The sequence below is a fragment of the Homo sapiens genome, chromosome 17 (genome assembly GCF_000001405.40).
Source record: "Homo sapiens chromosome 17, GRCh38.p14 Primary Assembly".
Lineage (NCBI taxonomy): Eukaryota > Metazoa > Chordata > Mammalia > Primates > Hominidae > Homo > Homo sapiens.
The window spans coordinates 6805069-6829524 of record NC_000017.11 but is presented as its reverse complement, the minus strand read 5'-3'; the positions used below and the strand labels follow the sequence as shown (position 1 = coordinate 6829524).

At 42.6% G+C, this 24456-nt stretch overlaps 1 protein-coding gene across 2 annotated transcripts in view; it reads left to right on the top strand.

Annotated features, from left to right (window-relative positions):
* The window catches only part of TEKT1 (tektin 1), a 33737-nt gene that overhangs the window by 2205 nt on the left and 7076 nt on the right, over positions 1 to 24456 (top strand). For both annotated transcript variants that reach the window (XM_011524027.4, NM_053285.2), the window contains exons 3-6: positions 10167 to 10332; positions 13563 to 13691; positions 14219 to 14362; positions 16472 to 16694. In XM_011524027.4, coding sequence (XP_011522329.1) covers positions 10167 to 10332; positions 13563 to 13691; positions 14219 to 14362; positions 16472 to 16694 — 662 coding nt within the window. The remainder of the gene's footprint in view (positions 1 to 10166; positions 10333 to 13562; positions 13692 to 14218; positions 14363 to 16471; positions 16695 to 24456) is intronic.

The following is a 24456-nucleotide window of genomic DNA, read 5'->3' as shown; positions in this document are numbered from 1 at the left end:
AAAAAAAAAGAAAGAAAAAGAAAGGAAGAATGAAAGAGAGAAAGAAAGAAAGAAAGAGAAAGAAAAGAAAGAGAAAAGGAAAGTATATGGGAAGATGTGCATAGGTTATATGAAAACACTACACCATTTTGTATAAAAGACTTGAGCATCCATGGATTTTGGTGTCTGTCAGGGACTCTGGAACAAATCCTCTGAGGATACCAAGGGACAGGTGTATAACCAGATAGGTGCTGGGGTAGGGGAACAAAGACGGGGCGGAGTAGATGTGAAAAATTGGAAAAGTTTTTCTAGAGAAGAACATTTACTTGAGTCTTAAAAGGAGTCATTTTCTCTTGACAATTCCTTACTTAAAACAGTATTTACTTAAATTTCTTGAGACAGAGTCTCGCTCCATCACACAGGCCAGAGTACAGTGGCACAATCTCAGCTCACTGCAATCTCTGCCTTCCAGGTTCGAGCGCTTCTCCTGCCTCAGCCTCCTGAGTAGCTGGGATTACAGGCGTGCACCATCACACCCGGCTAATTTTTGTATTTTTGGTAGAGACGGGGTTTCATCATGTTGGCCAGGCTGGTCTTGAACTCCTGACCTCAGGTGGTCCGCCCGCCTCAGCCTCCCAAAGTCTGGGATTACAGGCACGAGCCACCGCACCCTGCCTAAAACAGTATTTAAAAGGTAGCGTTCTTTAGCAAAGATCTCAGGAAAGCACATTTAAAAAAAAAGATAGTATCCTTAAATAATCAAAACAAAAATAAACATAAAACAAAACAAACAACCAACGTCGGCTAAATGCCAAAAAGGGATTAACCAGGGGTAACCAACTCGACTATCTATAGGGACCAAGCAGGTAGCATAGGGATTGAATGTAAGGCATTAGGGTTTAGTAGGGACTGTGGGGACCTGGAGAACGTGTGCCCCATCTAAGGAGGAAGCTGCTACTCAGTTTCAACCCATTGCTTCCAAGAAAGAACATGAGCCCAGTGTTGCCTGATTGTCCGATTTTTTCAAGAAAATCTGGAAAGCAGGAATTTATTCACGTTTTAAATGTTGGTAACTGACTTAATTTATTTATAACACTGGGCCAGCTGAACAAACACGTTTATGGATCAAACCTGGTCTGAGGACTGTAGTTTTCTAATTTCCAGTAAATGAAACCTTCATTCAGGTCAGCAATGTTAGATGTTAGGCTCTCCTAATAGGTTGACCCTTACATTGATACCACCCTGTAGATAGGCCTGTTCTAAATAATTGTGCAAATAGGTAGGTGTTAAAAATGAGAAGGCGCCCGGGCATGGTGGCTCACGCCTGTGATTCCAGCACTTTGGGAGGCCAACGTGGGCGGATCACAAGGTCAGGAGATTGAGACCATCCTGGCTAACATGGTGAAACCCTGTCTTTACTAAAAATACAAAAAATTAGTGGGGCATGGTGGCATGCATCTGTAGTCCCGGTTACTCAGGAGGCTGAGGCAGGAGAATCGCTTGAACCAAGGAGGTGGAGGTTGCAGTGAGCCGAGATCGTGCCACTGCACTCCAGCCTGGGTGACAGGGTGAGACTCTGTCTCAAAACAAAAAAAAGAAGAGAAATCATTATTCATTTTCACAATACTCTGTTTCAGTAGATACGGGGAAAAAGTGAACCTTCATTGATTCATGGAATCATTTTAAAATTAGCCATTAGGCATTAAAAGCATCAAATATGTAGGAATAAATCTAGCAAAAGATGTGCAAGTGTTTTGCACTGAAAAATCATTTTTTCAAGAAATTAAAGAAATTCTTAGTAAATGCAGGGATTTATGAGTTAATGGATTGGAAAACCTAGTATTTAAAAGTGTTGATTCCCTTCAAAAATTAATCTATATATTCAATGCAATGCCAATGAAAATCTCAGCAGGTTTTATGGTGAAATTGGCAAACTGCTTCTAAAATTCATATGGAAATGCAAAAGGTCAAGAATAGGCACGAGGCTGAGTGTGGTGGCTCATGCCTGGCTCCCAGCACTTTGGGAGGCCGAGGTGGGTGGATCACCTGAGGTCAGGAGTTCAAGACCAGCCTGGCCAACATGGTGAAACCCTGTCTCTACTAAAAGTACAAAAAAATTAGCTGGGCATGGTGGTGGGTGCCTGTAATCCCAGCTACTCAGGAGGCTGAGGTAGGAGAATCGCTTGAACCCGGGAGGCGGAGGTTGCAGTGAGCCGAGATCACGCCACTGCACTCCAGCCCGGGCGACAAGAGCGAGACTCCATCTCAAAAAAAAAAAAAAAAAAAAATTGGCACAACTATCTTAAAGAAGAACACAGTTGGAAGACTTCTACCGTAGGTACTGAGAGCTGTGACAAAGCTATGGTAATTGAGACAGCAAAGTATAAGTGAGGATAGACCTGTTGACCAATGAAACATGGCAGAGTCCAGAAACAAACCCACATACATTCATTCATCTGAGTATGACAAAGCAACACTACAGTGTAATGGGCAAAAGAAAGCCTTTTCAATGAATTGCCCAATTAGATATTCATATAAAAAATGATATCTTGGCCAGGCGCCGTGGCTTACACCTGTAATCACAGCACTTTGGGAGGCCAAGGCGGGCAGATCACGAGGTCAGGACAGCGAGACCATCCTGGCTAGCATGGTGAAACTCCATCTCTACTAAAAACACTAAAAATTAGCTGGGCGTGGTGGCGGGTGCCTGTAGTCCCAGCTACTCGGGAGGCTGAGGCAGGAGAATGGCGTGAACTCAGGAGGCGGAACTTGCAGTGACGTGAGATAGTGCCACTGCACTCCAGCCTGGGTGACAGAGCAAGACTCCGTCGCAAAAAAAAAAAAAATAATAATAATCCCAACCCCTACCTCGTATTATCTATCTATCTATCTATCTATCTATCTATCTATCTATCTATCTATCTATCTGCAAATCTAAGTGGAGTGCATATCTAAATGGGAAAGGTGAAACAATGACACTTATGGGAGAATATATTTATGATCTTTATGACTTGTCGAAGGCAAAGATTTCTTATTCTTAAGCAGGCCTGAAAAGAAGCATTCATAGAAAAGAAAAACAATAAATTAGACTATATTAAAATGAAGAACTTTTGTTTAACAAAAATACCTCATCAAAAGGCTGAACAGCAATCTAAAGAGTAGGAAAAGATATTTGCAATATATATATCTGACAAATCCATATCCAAAATATATAAATAACTTTTAAGAATACAAAAGAAAAAGGCAGATAACTCAATAAACAAATGGACAAATCTTGACAGACACCTTACAAGCGAGGACATTCAAACAGCCGACGAACATGTAAAGAGGTGCTCTAATTTTATGAGTCATCAGGGACATACAAATTAAAATCAAGTTGAGATGCCATTATACAGCCATGGAATGGCTACAATTAAAAAGAAGGAAGAGAACAAGAAGAAAGGAGAGGAAAGAGGATGTGGAGCAACTGTTACTGTCATATTCTGCTGGTGGAAATACAAATTGCTGTAATCACTTTGGAAAGCTTTGGCAGTATTGACTACAGTTGAAGACATGCATACTTTTCACCTGGTTATTCTACCTTTAGAGTTTTATCATACGGGAATATATGTTTACCAAAGATATATGCTGCAATGGCCAAAGGAGGGCCATTTGTAATGGCCCCAACTGGAAACTACCCACATGCTTATCAACAGTAGGATGGATAAATATGCTATACCTCACAGCAAAGAGAATGAGTGGCCTACAGCTATATACAACACTACTGATGAATCTTACAAACTTAGTAAGATGCTGAGTACAATAAATGACACACAGATGAGTACATGCCATATTATTCTATTTATGTAAAGTAAAACAAACCAAATAAAATGAAAAATGAATCTATACCTTGGTGTGTGGAATGATAGAACTGGAAGGGGTCATGAGAGACCTCCTGGGATGCCAGTTATATTCTGTTTCTTGAGCTGGGTCTTATATGTGTGTGTTCACTATGAAAATACATTGAATTTTATGATATGTGTACTCTTCTATAGGTTTTTGATATTTCAATAAAAAGTTAAAAATAACTTGCAAGTACCTGTGCTGGTGCTGATGATATAGACACACCAGACTGGTGTTTGCCCTTGGGGAGCTTGCAGTCTGAAAGTAGAGATGAGTCCAGTACAGGATACCCAGGATACGGTGTGCTTCATCCCATAAGAGGCACCAATAAAGCACCGTCAGATTGGAGGAGAGGGCACATCACTTCCAATTGGTCACATCCAATGACTACTCAATTTTCCAATCTAATGATCACTTAGTCTTCATCCAACTTGATCTCTCTACAATACTGGATGCTCAAAACTGGATGTGTCCAGTTACTTTTAGAATTCTATGGCACAAATTTTTCCTGATTAAAATTTCCTTTCTCTCTGGCCATTTCTTCCTCTTCTCTATTATGGATGCTTCTTTCCCCATTCATTTCCTATTGGTGTTCTTTAGCGTTTTGTTCTTCATCTTCTTAGCTTTTTCTTCTCTTCTCTCTAAGCAATCTTTCTTGATGACCTCATTAGAAATTTTATCACTATTTTCTTTGTGTTATTGGTTTGCAAATAGAAATCTTCAGCTCTAATTTCTCATGAGAACTCTTTGGGAAAATAGAGAACTACTTGCTATATATTGCCACCTAGATTCCTTCAGGCACCTCAAAATAAGTATGTCCCAAGATGAACTCATCATTGTCCTTCAAAACTTGCTTCTGCTTCTGTAGTTCCCTATCCTGGTTAATGGGATCAGAGCTCGTTCATTCATTAATTCATTCACTCTTCAAATAGGTCTGACCCTGTGCTAGATGCTTAGGAGTATAAAATTGAAAAAGACTGATACATTCTACTATGTAAAAGAGACACAACACAAGTAAAAAGGCAAGTAACTAAAATTATTGTAAGTTGCTGGCCTAGATGAAGGCAATGGCAGTAAAGATGGAGAGAAAAGGTGCTCGATAATATGTATGTTGGATTTATGAATGAATTTTAACAACAAAAGTCAAGGAGATAGCTTGGACAAAATAATAAAGGCAGGATGAGTGGGACATTTATGGGGAATGAGTAGAGAGGTCCAAGTTAATGTGTAGAGTACGTGAGGAAGAGCAGCATGATGAAGATGAGAGGGAGATGAAGCAGGGCCAAGCCTGAGGAAGACCTTGATTTTGGAATGTTCAGTTCATTGGGTAGCCTGTTAGAATTTAAGAAGTAACGCCAGAAATCACATAAAGATGGGTAAGGGGAGCCATAAGGGTAGATTAGACTACCCAAAGAATGTATCAAAAGAGAAGAAAAGGGCACATGAGTTGAAGAGGACCAAGAGAAGAGCTGAGGAACATAAGTTCAGGTGGAAGAATAAACAGATGAGACCAAGGTTATGAAAGCCAAAAGATGAGGTTTTGGCTGGGCGCAGTGGCTCACGCCTGTAATCCCAGCACTTTGGGAGGCCGATGTGGGCAGATCACGAGATCAGGAGATCAAGACCATCCTGGCTAACACGGTGAGACCTCGTCTCTACTAAAAATACAAAAAATTAGCCAGGCATGGTGGTGGGCACCTGTAGTCCCAGCTACTTGGGAGGCTGAGGCAGGAGAATGGTGTGAACCTGGGAGGCGGAGCTTGCAGTGAGCCGAGATAGCGCCACTGCAGTCCGGCCTGGGTGAAAGAGTGAGACTCTGTCTCAAAAAAAAAAAAAAAAAAAAAAAAAGGATGAGGTTTCACAGGCGAGGAAGTCTTCTATTGTATCAGTGGTTGTCTAAATGTCTAAGAGACTGAGAGCTGAGCCAAAATAAATTTGGACTAGTGACTTAAAGATTATTGGTGACCTTTGAGATAAGAGATGTCCAGTAGGATAGTGGAGGGTACACAGTAGAGGTGAAAATCAGTTACAAGGTGTCAATGGGAAGATGCCCATCTACATGGTGGATTAAGCACATGCATTTGTCTTCTCTTCCTTTTAGAATTCCAACAAAATAGCAGTAAAGAATTAATAACAGTAAAGCTAACAAAATAATAATAAAGCTATGCCCCAAGCATGAGAGAGATTGAGATGCATACACAGGCAAGCACATGCGTGTGCACACATACACACACACAGAGAGTTAGAGAGGAAGCAACAGTAGACAAATAATGAAATCAAGATTTTAGAAAGCAAAGGTCAGCTGGTAACAAACCTAGGGACTGCAGAAAATCAGGCTGGGTAGAGAACAATAAGAAGCCAGCTGATTCATGCTGCAGAAATCTTGTAATGCTCAAAACTGGATGCATCCAGTTACTTCTGAAGCTGGAGGGTCAGGATAGAACCAGAAACAAGATTGGTTGAAAGTCTTTATAAAGAGCTTCCTCTTCACTCTGGCTCTCCCTCACCCCAGCAGAAGGTTAAAGGTTAAAAGGTTCAATGAATGTCTACTTGGTGATTCATTCATTTCTATGTCTACATAGTAATTCTTCCAGCTGTTTCCTAAGACACTGGTAGCCAGGCTTCTACCCTCAGACAGGAGACTGGAGGACTTTTCTGTGGAGAAAGTAGAAAGTAACTGGCCCCGAAAGGAAAGATCCATAAATATTAACATTTGAGGATTCTCCTGTGAGATGCCAGGGTCTCAACTGATCACTCTGTATGATAAAGCATTCTGGTTGACAAGCACTGTCCCTCTAGACAGCATTTCCAGGTAGCACTTTAGCATCTCAGTCTAAATCAGATGATCACCAAATAATTGAGGAAAGCCAATAACATGGCAGACACCAAAACAAATAATCAAAGACACAGAAACTCAGGAGACAGATAGTGCATAGAGAAAAAGAAGACATACACTATCAAATCCATCAAGAATTTAGAGAAGAGATTGCATCCTTGGAACATGCAGAGGAGTCTTTAAAAAAGAGAACATTTGGAGAACAAGCGTTCTTAGAAATTAAGAATATAAGAGCAGAAAAATCTTAAAAATCAAAAGAAGTGTTGAGAATATCCAGAAAGTGGGAAAAAAGGACAACAAAATAACAGCAAAGAAAAGACAAGAAAATTAGAGGATCAGTCTGGGAGGCTCAATAACTAATAGGAGTTTCAGAAAGAGCATAGAGAAAATGGAGAAGTTATGGTGGCTCACACCTGGAATCCCAGCACTTTGGGAAGCCAAAATAGGAAGATCAGTTGAGACCAGGAGTTTGAGACCAGCCTTGGCAACACAGAGAGACCCTTGCCTCTACAAAAATAAGAAAATTAGGTGGGTGTGGTGGTGTGTACCTGTAGTCTCAGCTACCCAGGAGGCTGAGGTGGGAGGATCTCCTGAGCCCAGGAGTTCAAAGTTACAGTGAGCTATGGTTGTGCCACTGCACTCCAGCCTGGGTGACAGAGTGAGATCCTGTCTCTAAAAAGAAGAAGATGAGGAAGCAGGGCCCTAGGCCTGGCCCAGGAAGCATTTTTTTCTCCTAGGCCTCTTGGTCTGTGATGAGAGGGGCTGCTGTGAAGATCTCTGACATGCCCTGGAGACATTTTCCCCATTGTCTTGGCAATTAGCATTCGGCTTCTTGTTACTTATGCAAATTTCTGTAGCTGGCTTGAATTCCTTCCCCCAAAATGGGGGAAGCAGAGCATCCCTTTTAAACATAAGTTCCAATTTCAGATAATCTCTCTCAAATTCAAAGTTCCACAGATCTCTAGGGCAGGGGCAAAATGCTGCCAGTCTCTTTGCTAAAGCATAAGAAGAGTGAACTTTGCTTCAGTTCCCAATAAGTTCCTTATCTCCATCTGAGACTACCTCAGCAGGACTTCATTGTCCATATCACTGTCAACATTTTGATCGAAACCATTCAACAAGTCTCTAGGAAGTTCCAAACTTTCCCAAAACTTTCTGTCTTCTTCTGAGCCCTCCACACTGTCCCAACCTCTGCCTGTTAACCCAGCTCCAAAGTCACTACCACATTTCCAGGTTATCTTTATAGCAGTGCCTCACTTCCAGTACTAATTCTCTGTATCAGTCAATTTTCACACTGCTATAAAGAAATACCTGAGACTGGATAATTTATAAAGGAAAGAGGTTTAATCGACCCACAGTTCCACATGGCTAGGGAGACCTCAGGAAACTTATAATCATGGTGGAAGGCTAAGAGAAAACAAGGACCTTCTTCACATGGTGGCAGGAGAGAGAAGAGAAAATGAAGGGGGAAGAGACCCTTATAAAACTATCAGATCTCAAGAGAGCTCACTCACTATCAGGAGAGCAGCATGGGGGAAACTGCCTCAATGATCCAATTATCTCCCACCAAGTCCTTCCCTCAACAGGTGAGGATAACAGCTGGAGATGAGATTTGGGTGGGGACACAGAGCCAAACCATATCAAAGGGTATATCTGGCATGTGACACAACAATTAAATAAGTTTGACACCAGTGTGAAATTTCAGGACCCTAGGAAAATAGATTACTAAAATTTTTCAGAGTGGAAAAAACAGGTCATATACAAAGAATCAGGAATCAGAGTGGCATCAGACTTTTCAACAGAAACTCTGGAAATTAGAAGGAAATGGAGGGACACAATCACAATTCCAAATAAAAAAGAGTTACAAACTGTAACTCAGGGCACAGCCAAATAGAATGAAATGTCGAGGGTAGAATAAAGACATTTGCAGACTTGCAGGTTTTCAAAAACTTTACCTCACATGCATCCATTTCTTAGGAAGTTACTGAAGGATATGCTTCAGCATACTGAAAGAGTAAATCAAGGAAGAGGAAGAAATACAATCCAGGAAACGGGACAGCAACAGGAGAAGAGTGAAGGGGATTCCTGGAAGCAAAGTCATAGGATGACAGCTACACAGCAAACTAGAGAGCAACTCATCCAGCAGGAGGAGAAGATGCTCTAGGAGAGACATCTCCAAGGAGGAAAGAAAATTGATAGCTTACTTGATGGGTTGGAATATATTGAGGGCATATTGAGAAAAAATTAATAATATAAAGAAACTGAAGGAATCACTATGCTACCCATTTTACTATCTCATAATGTCATGTTGTAAACCTCAAATATATACAATAACATTTTTTTTTAAAACAGAGTCAGCTTACAGAAGTGGAAACTGACACTACAACCAGTACATTATGACTTTAAGATTCAAATGCTGAACTACTCATTATCAATTAAATATATATATATTTAATTGTTTTCCTAGTATAATCAGTCATTTTTTACTCATGGTGACTAATAAATCTGCCTTTAATTATCATTTAAAAAAGAAAGTGAAGCAAAAATGCCATTTTAACTCCTCCCCAAAACAGAAAATTTTGTAAGAAAAGAAATTTATTACAGTGTATGATAGGGCTCAGGTGTAAATAACATTTATATATTTACAAAATGTAAATAAATAGTAAGTTTACTTATTTATTGTTTAACAAAATGGTGATACAACTATATTGGGAGACGGAAGTATGTTGTGTGAGTTGGTTAAGAGCAAATCATTATCTTTCATCACAGGAAATCAACATATAATATCAAAACTGATAATGAGTGAATAGCAGTATAAGCAAATGTCAGAAGTGATAAGGGGCCTGGCGCAGTGGCTGACACCTGTAATCCCAGCACTTTGGGAGGCCGAGGCAGGCGGATCACGAGGTCAGGAGATCGAGACCATCCTGGCTAACATGGTGAAACCCAGTCTCTACTAAAAAATACAAAAAATTAGCCGGGTGTGGTGGCGGATGCCTGTAGTCACAGCTACTCGGGAGGTTGAGACAGGAGAATGGCATGAACCTGGGAGGCAGAGCTTGCAGTGAGCAGAGATTGCACCACTGCACTCCAGCCTGGGTGACACAGTGAGACTCCGTCTCAAATGGATGGGGACAGGTCAGAGAGTTTTAATTCTTTGTGATACTATTTGACTTTTCTAACAACACACATTTATATCTTTGATAAAATTAAAAGTTATTAAAAACAGTGGGCACTGAAGAACTAGTGGGTGTAGAATGATAAATCTGATGTGGACTGTAAGAAAATATATCTTCCTTCCTTCCTGCAAATAAACATTTAAAAAGATGAAAAGATGCCCCAAATAGCACAGCACTAAGAGGAAAAGAGCATGTCACAGGTGGTTTTACAACAGTCTTCAAGTTTCTAATTCAAATGTTGGCTACCTTGGGATAGATTAGCCCTGGTGTAACTTCCCCGTGTGCTTCAGAACAGAGACTCGAGGAAGTCCAGTTCTGGAAGAAGGAGTTAGATGACAAACTTGAGCAGCTTGTGAATGTAACTGATGATCTACTCATATATAAGATCAGATTGGAAAAAGCCCTGGAGACCTTGAAAGAGCCCTTGCACATCACTGAGACATGCCTGGCATACAGGTAGGAGCGAAGGTCCCTCAAATGATTCATGTGTTGTGACAAATGAGATGCTGGGTAGTAAATGCCGGCTGTGTGCGATGGTGAGTTAGAACACAGCACTTGAGCAGGTGTTCTTTTAGAGCCTGAAGTTATCCCAGCATGCCCCTGGTGCTGGGCAGTGCAAGGGGCACTGGACTTGGTTCATGCCTCAACTCTGCTCTTGACTAACTCAACTCAAATATGTTAGGACTAGGTTTGGCTGTGGGTAGCAGAAAACTTTAAAATAATATTGAATTTAAAGAAAACGATTTCTTTCTCTCTTACATTCAAAGAGTCTAGAGATAGTCAGTCCAGGGTTGGAATGGTGGGCCACAGTTTTAGGGTTCCAGGCTTTTTCTATCTTCTTGTTCTACTGCACATGGCTTTCACTCCTAATGTTACCTTGTGGTTTAAGTTGGCAGCTGGAGCTCCAGCCATTATGTCTACATTCCAGCAAGTAGGAGTAAGTGGGGTCTGGCATTCATCATTTCTATTTGCATCCTATTGACAGAACTTAATCACATGGCCACACCAACAGATGCTGGGAAATGATTGGTTTTACTTTGGGCAGCCAGGTGCTCAGCCAAAAAACCAGGGGTTCTGTTGCCAAGGAAGAAGGTGAGAACAGACACTACAGCTCCCAGGGGACAGTATGTCTCTCCCATGCAGAGCCACACGGAAGCACTTTGTAATCCAGACAGCACTATAGGAACATAGTGCTTTTTATTATTATTTCCCTCCTATAAATCCAGTGAATAGAATGATCCTTTCTACTCTGGGGTGATGCTGGTTTCCAGACCTGGGTTCTGCCGCAGACCTAGCTGGAGTGCCCTAACAGGTCTTCTTGCTGTTAGCATAGTCCCCTATAATCTAGTGCACCCTGCACACTGGCTGTTGAGTGAACTTTTCCAAATGCAGATTTTTCCCGGTCACCGCCATGCTTAGAATCCTTCAAACCCCAATGGCTTCAAGATAAATTTTAAGCTTCTTAGCTTAGCAAACCAAGGTTCATCATGATAGGGCCCCCAGTGACCTCTCTGGATCCATATCTTGTCCCCAGTAGTGGGATGTGCTTAGGTGTGTGGAGCTACTTGCAGTTTCTCAAATGCACCATGCCCCTGTCTTCCTGGAAAGCCCTGTTCCTTCCATAAGCTTAAACAGGACCCGTTGCAGGAACCAGGCAGCAGTCTCCCCAGCCAGATTTAGAAATCTATGAAGCAAAGAGAAATAGCAGCTCATCAAAGAGCTCAACACCCAGTTGGCTCAAGTCTAAGCCTGAGGATAATGATAACGTAGAGGCTGCTAAGTTTACTGAGCATGTACTATGTGCCAGGTACTGTAGCTTATGCTTTTATAGCTCATTTGTAGTGTGCCACAATCCTATGAAGTACTAATAATTACCCCCATTTTACAGAAAAGGAAACCAAGGCACAGGTAGGTTATATAGTGGCTAAGGGCACCCAGCTAGTGAGTAGGGGAACCTCCTTTCCAAGCACTATCATGCAGGTTGAAAAAGAGCAAAACGTTGTGTAGCAGGGTCAGTTTGGGAGGAGGATGGCATCTTGGCTAGAAGCACATGTGGCACACAGTTCTGTGACACTGGGTAGATCACTTAGTCTCTCTGAAACTCAGTTTCCCCATCTGTACTTGAAAGGGCTAAGAAAGAATGTTTATATATTAATAAAGCTCAGCACAATGCCTGTCATGGAGTAAGTGCTCACTGGCAGAGGCAATATTACTATTGGTGTTATTATTATTAATAGTTATTATTACTATAAACATCTTTTAAAATTTTTTTTGAGATGGAGTTTCGCTCTTGTTGCCCAGGCTGGAGTGGAATGGTGCAATCTCGGCCCACCGAAACCTCCACCTCCCGGGTTCAAATGATTCTCCTGCCTCAGCCTCCTGAGTAGCTAGGATTACAGGCATGCACCACCACTCTTGGCTAATTTTGTGTTTTTAGTAGAGACGGGGTTTCTCCATGTTGGCCAGGCTGGTCTCCAACTCCCGACCTCAGGCGATCCACCTGCCTCAGCCTCCCAAAATGCTGGGATTACAGGCGTGAGTCACTGCGCCCACCCTAAAACATCTTTCTATGTTCAATTGTTTGTCTAAACACTGAATGAGGATCAAGGAAGGAAACAAGTCTTTGAATTTATTATTATTATTTAAAACTTTCCTCTTCTTGGGAAAAAAAGTCCATCTGGCTGCAAATCAAAACCACAATGAGATACCATCTCATGCTAGTTAGAATGGCAACCATTAAAAAGTCAGGAAACAACAGATGCTGGAGAGGATGTGGAGAAATAGGAATGCTTTTACACTGTTGGTGGGAGGGTAAATTAGTGCAACCATTGTGGAAGACAGTGTGGTGATTCCTCAAGGATCTAGAACTAGAATTACCATTTGACCCAGCAATCCCATTACTGGGTATATACCCAAAGGATTATAAATCATGCTACTATAAAGACATATGCACACGTTTGTTTATTGTGGCACTATTCACAATAGCAAAGACTTGGAACCAACCCAAATGTCCATCAGTAATAGACTAGATTAAGAAAATGTGGCACATATACACCATGGAATACTATGCAGCCATAAAAAAGGAAGAGTTCATGTCCTTTGCAGGGACATGGATGCAGCTGGAGACCATCATTCTGCGCAAACTATCACAAGGACAGAAAACCAAACACTGCATGTTCTCACTCATAGGTGGGAATTGAACAATGAGAACACTTAGACAAAGGGCAGGGAACATCACACACCGGGGCCTGTCAGGGTGTGGGGGGCTGGGGGAGGGATAGCATTAGGAGAAATACATAATATAAATGATGAGTTGATGGGTGCAGCAAACCAATGTGGCACATGTATACCTATGTATCAAACCTGCACGTTGTGCACATGTACCCTAGAACTTAAAGTATAATTTAAAAAAAATACAAAGAAAAGAAAAAGAGAGAGAGAAAAAAAAGTCCATTTGGCATGTTTCAGACCAAGTGACCAGTCATCAATCAATTTTTCTTCATTGTGTTTGGATATTTTGAAGTCACATAGACACCAACTAATATCTGTCACCCACTGTGTCATCGGATGGATCGGGTGACACTCAAATCAGTCGTGCAGATAGTTCTGAGTGTGCAGCCATTAGCCAATGTTGAGTCACCTCATGTTGCACGTGTTGGCTGACTGGCTGCCTTTCCCCCTGCCAGGGAGAAGCGCATTGGCATTGACCTGGTGCACGACACAGTGGAGCATGAGCTGATAAAGGAGGCTGAGATCATCCAGGGCATTATGGCTCTGCTGACCCGTACCTTGGAGGAGGCTTCCGAGCAGATTCGGTATGACTCTTCGGCCTGCCCTCCAAATCTCCACTGGGAATTTTGAGAAAAGGCAGTGTCCACAAAAGCTGGGCTCCATGGCACAGAAAGAAAGGGGTTCAACATTCCCGCTCCCACTTTGTGTCCCCAGATTGCCCCAGCACTCAGGGTAAGAGCTGGCCACATCCCTCATACATGGCAGCCGCCCTCTGGTAAGGGTGGGGCTGGAGCTGGATTTCACCCTGGTTATAAACTGGAGGACGCTGGAACCCACTGGTGAGGCTGACCCCTCACACATAGTAGGCTGCAATGGTGACACTGGAAAATGTAACAGTAGAAGGGAGAATCTCCAAGTCCACATTTGGTTACGTTGATTTGTCACCGGGCATCAAATGGTATACGCATGAGTGTTGGGGTGATGGGTGGGGGGCAGTACCATCATCCTGCACCAGACCTAGCTGCAGCTTCACTTTCCAGGACCTCTCTGAGGACGTGGGTGCCACCTGGGCACTCCAGAGGCAGAAACCCAGTTTACTTTCTCCCTTCAGGATGAACCGCTCTGCCAAGTACAATCTTGAGAAGGATTTGAAGGACAAGTTTGTGGCCCTGACCATAGATGATATCTGCTTCTCGCTCAACAACAACTCACCAAACATCAGATATTCTGAGAACGCCGTGAGGATTGAGCCAAAGTGAGTGGGCCTTGCCGTCTTCCTCCTCGCGGGTGACCCAGTGCTTCTCAGATAGGCAAGACCTAGCGGCTCGTCCTTGCAGCTGGCTGAGAGCTTGGAAGTGGTGGGCTTGGGGCAAAGGCAGCATTGAATGGTGACCTTGACATTGGGCCCAGAGGCTCCTGATTCTCCAGGTTAGGCTCACTAACTAAGAAAGTCTGACATAAAACCTTTAAACCTTTAAAGAATAAAACATTTTATTCCTTCATCTATACATGTTTTTAACAAGTAAAATAATCTAAAAATGTAGGAAGAGCAAGTGAATTTCCCCCCCCCTTTTTTTTTTGAGACAGAGTCTTGCTCTGTCACTTAGGCTGGAGTGCAGTGGCGCGATCTCACCTCACTGCAAGCTCCGTCTCCCGGGTTCACGCCATTCTCCTGTCTCAGCCTCCCAAGTAGCTGGGACTACAGGCGCCCGCCACCATGCCTGGCTAATTTTTTGTATTTTTAGTAGAGATGGGGTTTCACCAAGTTAGCCAGGATGGTCTCAATCTCCTGACCTCGTGATCTGCCCGCCTCGGCCTCCCAAAGTGCTGGGATTACAGGCGTGAGCCACCGCCCCTGGCCTCCCCTTTCTGTTTTTACATCCACTGAGATAACTGGTGTTAGCTGCATGTTCATACAAACATATGTACATGTGCACTCACACACATACGGTAAACTTTGTTTAGTTTATAAAAATGAGATTATACTATGTACCTTTTCTGTGACATCTAATTTGCATTTTTCGGTTAACATTATATCACAGCCTAACTCACTTTAATTTTTAAAACCTTCTTTTTGAAATAAAACATACATATAGAAAAGTGCACAAGTTTGAAGCATTCTCATTGTGTTAGTTATCTTTTGCTGTATACTAAATTATCCCAAAACTTTGCAGCTTAAGACAATAAACATGTATTATCTCATGGTTCCTTGGGTGGGGAAACCAGGCCCTGTTCAACTGGGTGCCCCAGGCTTGATGTCTTCTGAGGCTGTAGTCAAGCCAGCTGCTGGGGTTGCAATCCATCTGAAGGCTTGACCCGGGTGGGGTCCAATTCCAAGCTGATTGTGGGTGATGGTGGGCCTTGGTTCCTTGCCTTGTGAATTTCACCATGGGGATGTCCCATGACATGGCAACTGGTTTCTCCCATAATGAGTGATCCGAGAGAGAGAGAGAGAGAGAGAGAGAGAGAGAACGGATGACAGAAGCCACAGTCTTTTTTATATCCTAATCCCAGAAGTGACATCCTTCTATTTGTGAGAAGGAAGTCAATAAATTCATCCCATACTCAAGGCGAGGGGATTACACAAAGGCATGAATACCAGGAGGGGGGATCACTAAGTGCCATCTCAGAGGCTGCTTCTAATCACAAACTGAACAAAGCCTCATATCACCACCAGGTCAAGAAAGAAAACATTATCACCATCCCTATCATCCTGTCCTCTTCCAATCAATAGTCCCTCCCTCCATCCTGAAGGTAATAACTTTCCTGACTTGTAATAGGTTGGTTTTGCCTGCTTTTCATTAAACAGCATTATATACTAGATATGTGTGTGTGTGTGTGTGTGTGTGTGTGTGTGTGTGTGTGTCTGGTTTCTTCCAATTAACATTATTTTGAAGTTCATCAGTGTCGTTCCAGAAGATAGTTCCTCTTCAAACGAGTAATTTATTCACTTTTTTATTTAAATCTGTATAGATGGATGGTTTCTATTTTATTCAGTGTAATCTATTACATTAGTATTATTTTGATGCTCAAATTATCTCTAGCTGAGCAATCTCACCCAAGTTACTTCATTTTTCTGAGCTCAGTTTCCCTCATCTGTAAAATGGGGATTAGAAAAGTTAGCTCACTTGGCCATCATGAGGATTAAATGAGATAATGTCTATAAGGTGCCAGCCCAATGCCAGAGTAGGGAGGTTGCCCAAAGTGACAGCTATTGATACTGACAGACCACTATTTGCTCTGCCTAGAGATAGGGTAACATTCTAGGTGGTTCTTATGAGGGGAAGGTGTAGCTCGTCCCTCTCTCCCAACCCCCTTCCCCACCCCAAATATGCTGTGAATGAAAGCGTGAGGTCTGTTTCAGCTCCGTGAGTCTGGAAGACTGGTTGGACTTCTCCAGCACCAATGTGGAGAAGGCTGACAAGCAGCGGAACAACTCCCTGATGCTGAAAGCCCTGGTGGATCGAATCCTGTCCCAGACAGCCAATGATCTGCGCAAGCAGTGTGATGTGGTGGACACGGCATTCAAGAATGGGCTGAAGGATACAAAGGATGCCAGGGACAAGCTGGCTGATCATCTGGCCAAGGTGAGGTCCCTTGAGGGAGCATGGAAGAAGAGCAGATTCAGGAGCTTTCACCATGGAAAACAAGAATGCCCCCTGGGCCAGACCGCTAGACTTCTGGGCTTGGGATATTGGGTTAACTCGTGGGTAAGGGTCATTCATATCTCTCAAGCTTAGCAGCAGGCTTTGCATTTTTGGGGACTGGAGCGGGACTTTGCCCCACTCTGGGCCTCCATTGTCACTCACTGCTGCAGAGAACAGAAATGCAGAGAACAGAACCCTGAGGCAGGAGACGGGAGGCTTAGGGGCTGGTTGCAGCTTTGTGCCTGGCTGTCTTCCCACTCCAGTTGCCACTCCTCCGTATGTGAAGTACGGAAATGGACTACATGCTCTCACGTGCCCTTTAGGACTCTGAAGTTACAGGAGTTGATGCAGCCAGTTTTTCCAAACCCGGTTGGAGCTTTAGGACTCTAGCTGGTCGTTTCTCCTGGTTATACAGTGTTGCGCTGGTAAACTGGCTCTCAGAGGGTGTTTTAGTCACTTTCACACCACCGTAAAGAGCTACCCAAGACTGGGTAATTTATAAAGGAAAGAGGTTTAATTGACTTACAGTTCCACATGGCTGGGGAGGCCTCAGGAAACTTACAGTCGTGGCAGAAGGTGAAGGAGAAGCCAGCACCTTCTTCACAAGGCAGCAGGAGACAGAAAGAGTGCAGGGGAAACTGCCACTTTTAAAACCATCAGATCTCATGAGAACTCTCTCACTATCATGAGAACAGCATGGGGGAAGCTGCCCCCATGATCCAATTACCTCCCACCAGATTCCTCCCTCAACATGTGGGGATTACAATGCAAGATGAGATTTGGGTGGGGACACAGAGCCAAACCATATCAGAGGGGGTTAGTATTTGTACTGCAAATACAAAGTGGGAGCATTTGTACCACAGATATCGGCAAATTCTACAGATTAGGGTCCTTCCTGTAGAATTTGTCGATGTCTGTAGTACAAATACTCCCACATTGGTGGATTTCAAGCTACACATTTCAGCAGGCCACTGTCAGCCCACCCTACGCTTTACTGCTGGTGAAGCTGAAACAGAGAGGGGAAGGGCCCCAAGGCGGCACGGTGGGAGTGGAGCCCAGGCCTTCTCAGCCCCTGAATCCCTGTCCTGTTGCCACATCCTGAACACTCCCTCCCAGAGCTCAGAGTCCAGTTGTGGACAAGATTTATTTCTGTGATGTGCTGGAGAAACCAGAGTATCATCGAGGGTGAAACTGCAATATTCAGCAAACCGAGAGGTAGACGAGCCTAGTGGAAATGGGTAGACGTCAGAGCCAGACATCTTGGGTTTGAACTGTGGCTTCAACACTTGCTGTGTGACCTTAGGGAGACCCTGAACTCCCCTGTTCCTTAGTTTCCTCCTTGATAAAATGGGGAGAAACAATAGTCTTCCCCAGCCAGGGTTAAGTTAGACAACTCATATAAAATATTTAGAACAGTGCCTGGCATGTATACATTTCACACACACACACACACACACACACACATTTTGCATATATGATTAACATATAATATCATACATATAAATAATAAAAATAGTTGATTGATGATGATGATGATGATGATGATAGCCAAGGAATAATCCAGAGACTTCCTGGTGGAATAAGAACTTAGTATAGGCCTTGAAAGATGGATCTGAGATAGGACAGAAGGGAGGATGGGAGAGCACTGAGAAGAGAAGAGAGGAAGAGAAGAGGCTAAGGAGCAGAAACAAAGACATACTGGTAATAAAACAATAAAATAAGATGTCACGGCCGGGCGTGGTGGCTCACGCCTGTAATCCCAGCACTTTGGGAGGCCAAGGTGGGTGGATCACCTGAGAGGTCAGGAGTTCACGACTAGCCTGGGCAACAGGGTGAAACCCTGTCTCTACTAAAAATACAAAAAATTAGCCTGGTGTGGTGGCAGGCGCCTGTAATCACAGCTACTCGGGAGGCTGAGGCAGGAGAATCGCTTGAACCTGGGAGACAGAGGTTGCAGTGAGCCGAGATTGTGCCATTGTGCTCCAGCCTGGGCAATAAGAGCGAAACTCCATCTCAAAAAAAATGCATAAAAATAAAATAGTAAGATGTCACTGTATGGTGATACATGGTTGGAAAACTGTCAAGTTATATACATGTCACTGTGATTTATAGTGCTCTGGGCAACAGTGCAAAGCCGTGAGAACATCACATACAGTGTGTCACCATGACTTAATTCTGCCATGGTAGTTCAGAAGCAATAATAAATGAATAAGCATGGCTGTGTTTCAATACAGCTTTATTTATGGGCATTAAAAATATAATTTTATGTAATTTTCACATGACGATATTCTGCTTTTATTTTTCTCCCCAACCATTTAAAATTTAAAAATCCCTAAGACAATGAAAAGACAAACCACACACTGGGATAAAATACTTGCAAAATACATATCTGATAAAGAATTGTTATCCAAAACGTACAAAGAACTCTTAAAATTCAACAATGGGAAAACAGACCAACTACAAAAATGAACAAAAGCTCTAAACAGACACCTCACCAATACAGATATACAGAGGGCAAGTAAGCATACGAAAAGATGCTCAACATCCTATGTCATTAGGGAATTGCAAATTAAAACAACAACACCTCGGCACCTACAGAAAATCCAAAGCACTGACACCCCCAAATGCTGGTGAGGATGTGGAGCAACAGGAACTCTCATTCATTGATGATGAGAATGCAAAATGGTACAGCCCCTTTGGAAGAGAGGGTGGCAGTTTCTTACAAGGCTAAACATATACTCTTAGGATTCAGCAATCTCCTTCCTTGGTATTTGCCCAGATGGGCTGAAAACTTATGTTCATACAAAAACCTGTGTATGAATGTCTATAGCAGCTTTATTCATGATTGCCAAAACTTGCAAACAGCTAAGATAGGTGAATGGATGGATAAACTGTGGTACATCCAGACAATGAAATATTATTCAGCACTAAAAAGGCGTGAGCTATCAAGCCATGAAAAGACATAGAGGAACTTTAAATGCGTATTGCTAAGTTAAAGAAGCTGATTTGAAACTCATACTGTATGATATGAATCATAAGTCCAACTATATGACATTCTAGAAAAGACAAAACTATGGAGATGAAAAAGATCAGCGGTTGTCAGGGGTTTGGGTGGGTGGAAGAAGGAAGGAAGGATCAATGGAAGCAGCCCAGGGGTGTTCTAGGGCAGCAAAACATATTCTGTATGATATTGTAAAGTGGATACATGTAGTTATACATCTGTCAAAACCCATAGAATCGGCTGGGCGCGGTGGCTCATGCCTGTAATCCTAGCACTTTGGGAGGCTGAGGCGGGTGGATCACCTGAGGTCAGAGGTTCAAGACCAGCTTGGCCAACACAGCGAAACCCTGTCTCTACTAAAAATACAAAAATTAGCTGGCTGTGGTGGCGCCTGCCTGTAATCCCAGCTATTTGGGAGGCTGAGGCAGGAGAATTGCTTGAACCTAGGAGGCAGAGGTTGCAGTGAGCTGAGATCATGCCATTGCTATCCAGCCTGGGTGACAGAGTAAGACTCCATAAAAAACAAAAGCAAACAAACAAACAAAACTCATAGATTGTACAACACAAAGAGTGAACCCTAATGTAAATTGTGGACTTTAGTTAATAATAATATATCAATATTGGCTCATCAATTGTATTAATAACAAGTGTACCACACTAATGGAAGATGCTAATAATAAGGAAAACCTGGATGGGGGGAGAAAGCATATGGGAATTCTACTTTCTGCTCAATTTTTCTTTAAACTTAAAACAGCTCTAAAGAAATTGAAGATTATTACTTAAAAAAAATCTTATTTCACAGTCTGTACAAAAACAGGTTGCAGACTGGATTTAGTTTATAGGCCATAGTTTGCTGATTCTTGATCTCACTCATAGCAGTAGTAGTTTTATTATAAGTGTATTGCTATCTATGTATTTTGGATGGTTAAGGTATTTGTAAAATTTAAGAGATTTGGCCTGTTTTTTAAAAATTTCTTTAAAATATATAATTAAATAATTGTTTTAGCCTTATGATTTTAGTTGAAACTTTAAATTTGAAGATAGCATTCGAATATTTAAGAAAATTTAAAGCATCATCTTTTTTTACTAATTTGTTAGATTGACAAATCTATTTAAGAACTCCAGAAGGTCTTATTTGTTAAGATAATTTAAATAGGGGTGGAGCCAAGATGGTCAAATAGGAACAGCTCCAGCCTACAGCTCCCAGCGTGAGCGACGCAGAAGATGGGTGATTTCTGCGTTTCCAACTGAGGTACCAGGTTCATCTCACTGGGGAGTGTCGGAAAGTGGGTGCAGGACAGTGGGTGCAGCGCACCAAGCATAAGCCGAAGCACGGTGAGGCATTGCCTCACCCGGGAAGTGCAAGGGGTCAGGGAATTCCCTTTCCTAGTCAAAGAAAGGGGTGACAGATGGCACCTGGAAAATCAGGTCACTTCCACCCTAATACTGCGCTTTCCCAACGGTCTTAGCAAACGGCACACCAGGAGATTATATCCCGCACATGGCTTGGAGGGTCCTACACCCACGGAGCCTCGCTCACTGCTAGCACAGCAGTCTGAGATCAAATTGCAAGGTGGCAGCCAGGCTGGCGGAGAGGTGCCTGTCATTGCTGAGGCTTGAGTAGGTAAACAAAGCAGCCCTGAAGCTCGAACTGGGTGGAGCCCACTGCAGCTCAAGGAGGCCTGCCTGCCTCTGTAGACTCCACCTCTGGGGGAGGGTACTGCCAAACAAAAGGCAGCAGAATCCTCTGCAGACTTAAATGTCCCTGTCCGACAGCTTTGAAGAGAGTAGTGGTTCTCCCAGCATGCAGCTGGAGATCTGAGAACGGACAGACTGCCTCCTCAAGTGGGTCCCTGACCCCCGAGTAGCCTAACTGGGAGGCACCCCCCAGTAGGGGCAGACTGACACCTCACACGGCTGGGTACTCCTCTGAAACAAAACTTCCAGAGGAACAATCAGGCAGCAACATTTGCCGTTCACCAATATCCGCTGTTCTGCAGCCTCCGCAGCTGATACCCAGGCAAACAGGGTTTGGAGTGGACCTCCAGCAAACTCCAACAGAACTGCAGCTGAGGGTCCTGACTGTTAGAAGAAAAACTAACAAACAGAAAGGACATCCACACCAAAACCCTATCTGTACGTCACCATCATCAAAGACCAAAGGTAGATAAAACCACAAAGATGGGGAAAAAACAGAGCAGTAAAACTGGAAACTCTAAAAATCAGAGTGCCTCTCCTCCTCCAAAGGAATGCAGCTCCTCACCAGCAATGGAACAAAGCTTAATGGAGAATGACTTTGACAAGTTGAGAGAAGAAGGCTTCAGATGATCAAACTACTCTGAGCTAAAGGAGGAAGTTCGAACCCATGGCAAAGAAGTTAAAAACCTTGAAAAAAAATTAGATGAATGGCTAACTAGAATAACCAATGCAGAGAAGTCCTTAAAGGACCTGATGGAGCTGAAAACCAAGGCACGAGAACTACGTGACGAATGCACAAGCCTCAGTAGCCAATTCGATCAACTGGAAGAAAGGGTATCAGTGATGGAAGATCAAATGAATGAAATTAAGTGAGAAGAGAAGTTTAGAGAAAAAAGAATGAAAAGAAACGAACAAAGCCTCCAAGAAATATGGGACTATGTGAAAAGACCAAATCTACATCTGATTGGTGTACCTGAAAGTGATGGGGAGAATGGAACCAAGTTGGAAAACACTCTGCAGTATATTATCCAGGAGAACTTCCCCAATCTAGCAAGGCAGGCCAACATTCAAATTCAGGAAATACAGAGAATGCCACAAAGATACTCCTTGAGAAGAGCAACTCCAAGACACATAATTGTCAGATTCACCAAAGTTGAAATGAAGGAAAAAATGTTAAGGGCAGCCAGAGAGAAAGGTTGGGTTACCCACAAAGGGAAGCCCATCAGACTAACAGCTGATCTCTCAGCAGAAACTCTACAAGCCAGAAGAGAGTGGGGGCCGATATTCAACATTCTTAAAGAAAAGAAATTTCAACCCAGAATTTCATATCCAGCCAAACTAAGCATTATAAGTGAAGGAAAAATAAAATCCTTTACAGACAAGCAAATGCTGAGAGATTTTGTCACCATCAGGCCTGCCTTGCAAGAGCTCCTGAAGGAAGCACTAAACATGGAAAGGAACAACTGGTACCAGCCGCTGCAAAAACATGCCAAATTGTAAAGACCATCGACGCTAGGAAGAAACTGCATCAACTCATGAGCAAAATAATCAGCTAACATCATAATGACAGGATCAAATTCACACATAACAATATTAACCTTAAATGTAAATGGGCTAAATGCTCCAATTAAAAGACTCAGACTGGCAAATTGGATAAAGAGTCAAGACCCATCAGTGTGCTGTATTCAGGAAACCCATCTCATGTGCAGAGACACACATAGGCTCAAAATAAAGGGATGGAAGAAGATCTACCAAGCAAATGGAAAACAAAAAAAGGCAGGGGTTGCAATCCTAGTCTCTGATAAAACAGACTTTAAACCAACAAAGATCAAAAGAGACAAAGGAGGGCATTACATAATGGTAAAGGGATCAATTCAACAAGAAGAGCTAACTATCCTAAATATATATGCAGTCAATACAGGAGCACCCAGATTCATAAAGCAAGTCCTTAGAGACCTACAAAGAGACTTAGACTCCCACACAATAATAATGGGAGACTTTACCACCCCACTGTCAACATTAGACAGATCAACGAGACAGAAAGTTAACAAGGATATCCAGGAATTGAACTCAGCTCTGCACCAAGCAGACCTAATAGACATCTACAGAACTCTCCACCCCAAATCAACAGAATATACATTCTTCTCAGCACCACACCGCACTTATTCCAAAATTGACCACAAAGTTGGAAGTAAAGCACTCCTCAGCAAATGTAAAAGAAAGGACATCATAACAAACTGTCTCTCAGACCACAGTGCAATCAAACTAGAACTCAGGATTAAGAAACTCACTCAAAACCACTCAACTACATGGAAACTGAACAACCTGCTCCTGAATGACTACTGGGTACATAACAAAATGAAGACAGAAATAAAGATGTTCTTTGAAACCAATGAGAACAAAGACACAACATACCAGAATCTCTGGGACACATTCGAAGCAGTGTGTAGAGGGAATTTTATAGCACTAAATGCCCACAAGAGAAAGCAGGAAAGATCTAAAATTTACACCCTAACATCACAATTAGAAGAACTAGAGAAGCAAGAGCAAACACATTCAAAAGCTAGCAGAAGGCAAGAAATAACTAAGATCAGAGCAGAACTGAAGGAAATAGAGACACAAAAAACCCTTCAAAAAAAATCAATGAATCCAGGAGCTGGTTTTTTGAAAAGATCAACAAAATTGATAGACCGCTAGCAAGATGAATAAAGAAGAAAAGAGAGAAGAATCAAATAGAAGCAATAAAAAATGATAAGGGGGATATCACCACCGATCCCACAGAAATACAAATTACCAGCAGAGAATACTATAAACACCTCTACACAAATAAACTAGAAAATCTAGAAGACATGGATAAACTCCTCGACACATAAACCCTCCCAAGACTAAACCAGGAAGAAGTTGAATCTCTGAATAGACCAATAACAGGCTCTGAAATTGAGGCAATAGTTAATAGCTTACCAACCAAAAAAAATTCCAGGACCATACGGATTCCCAGCCGAA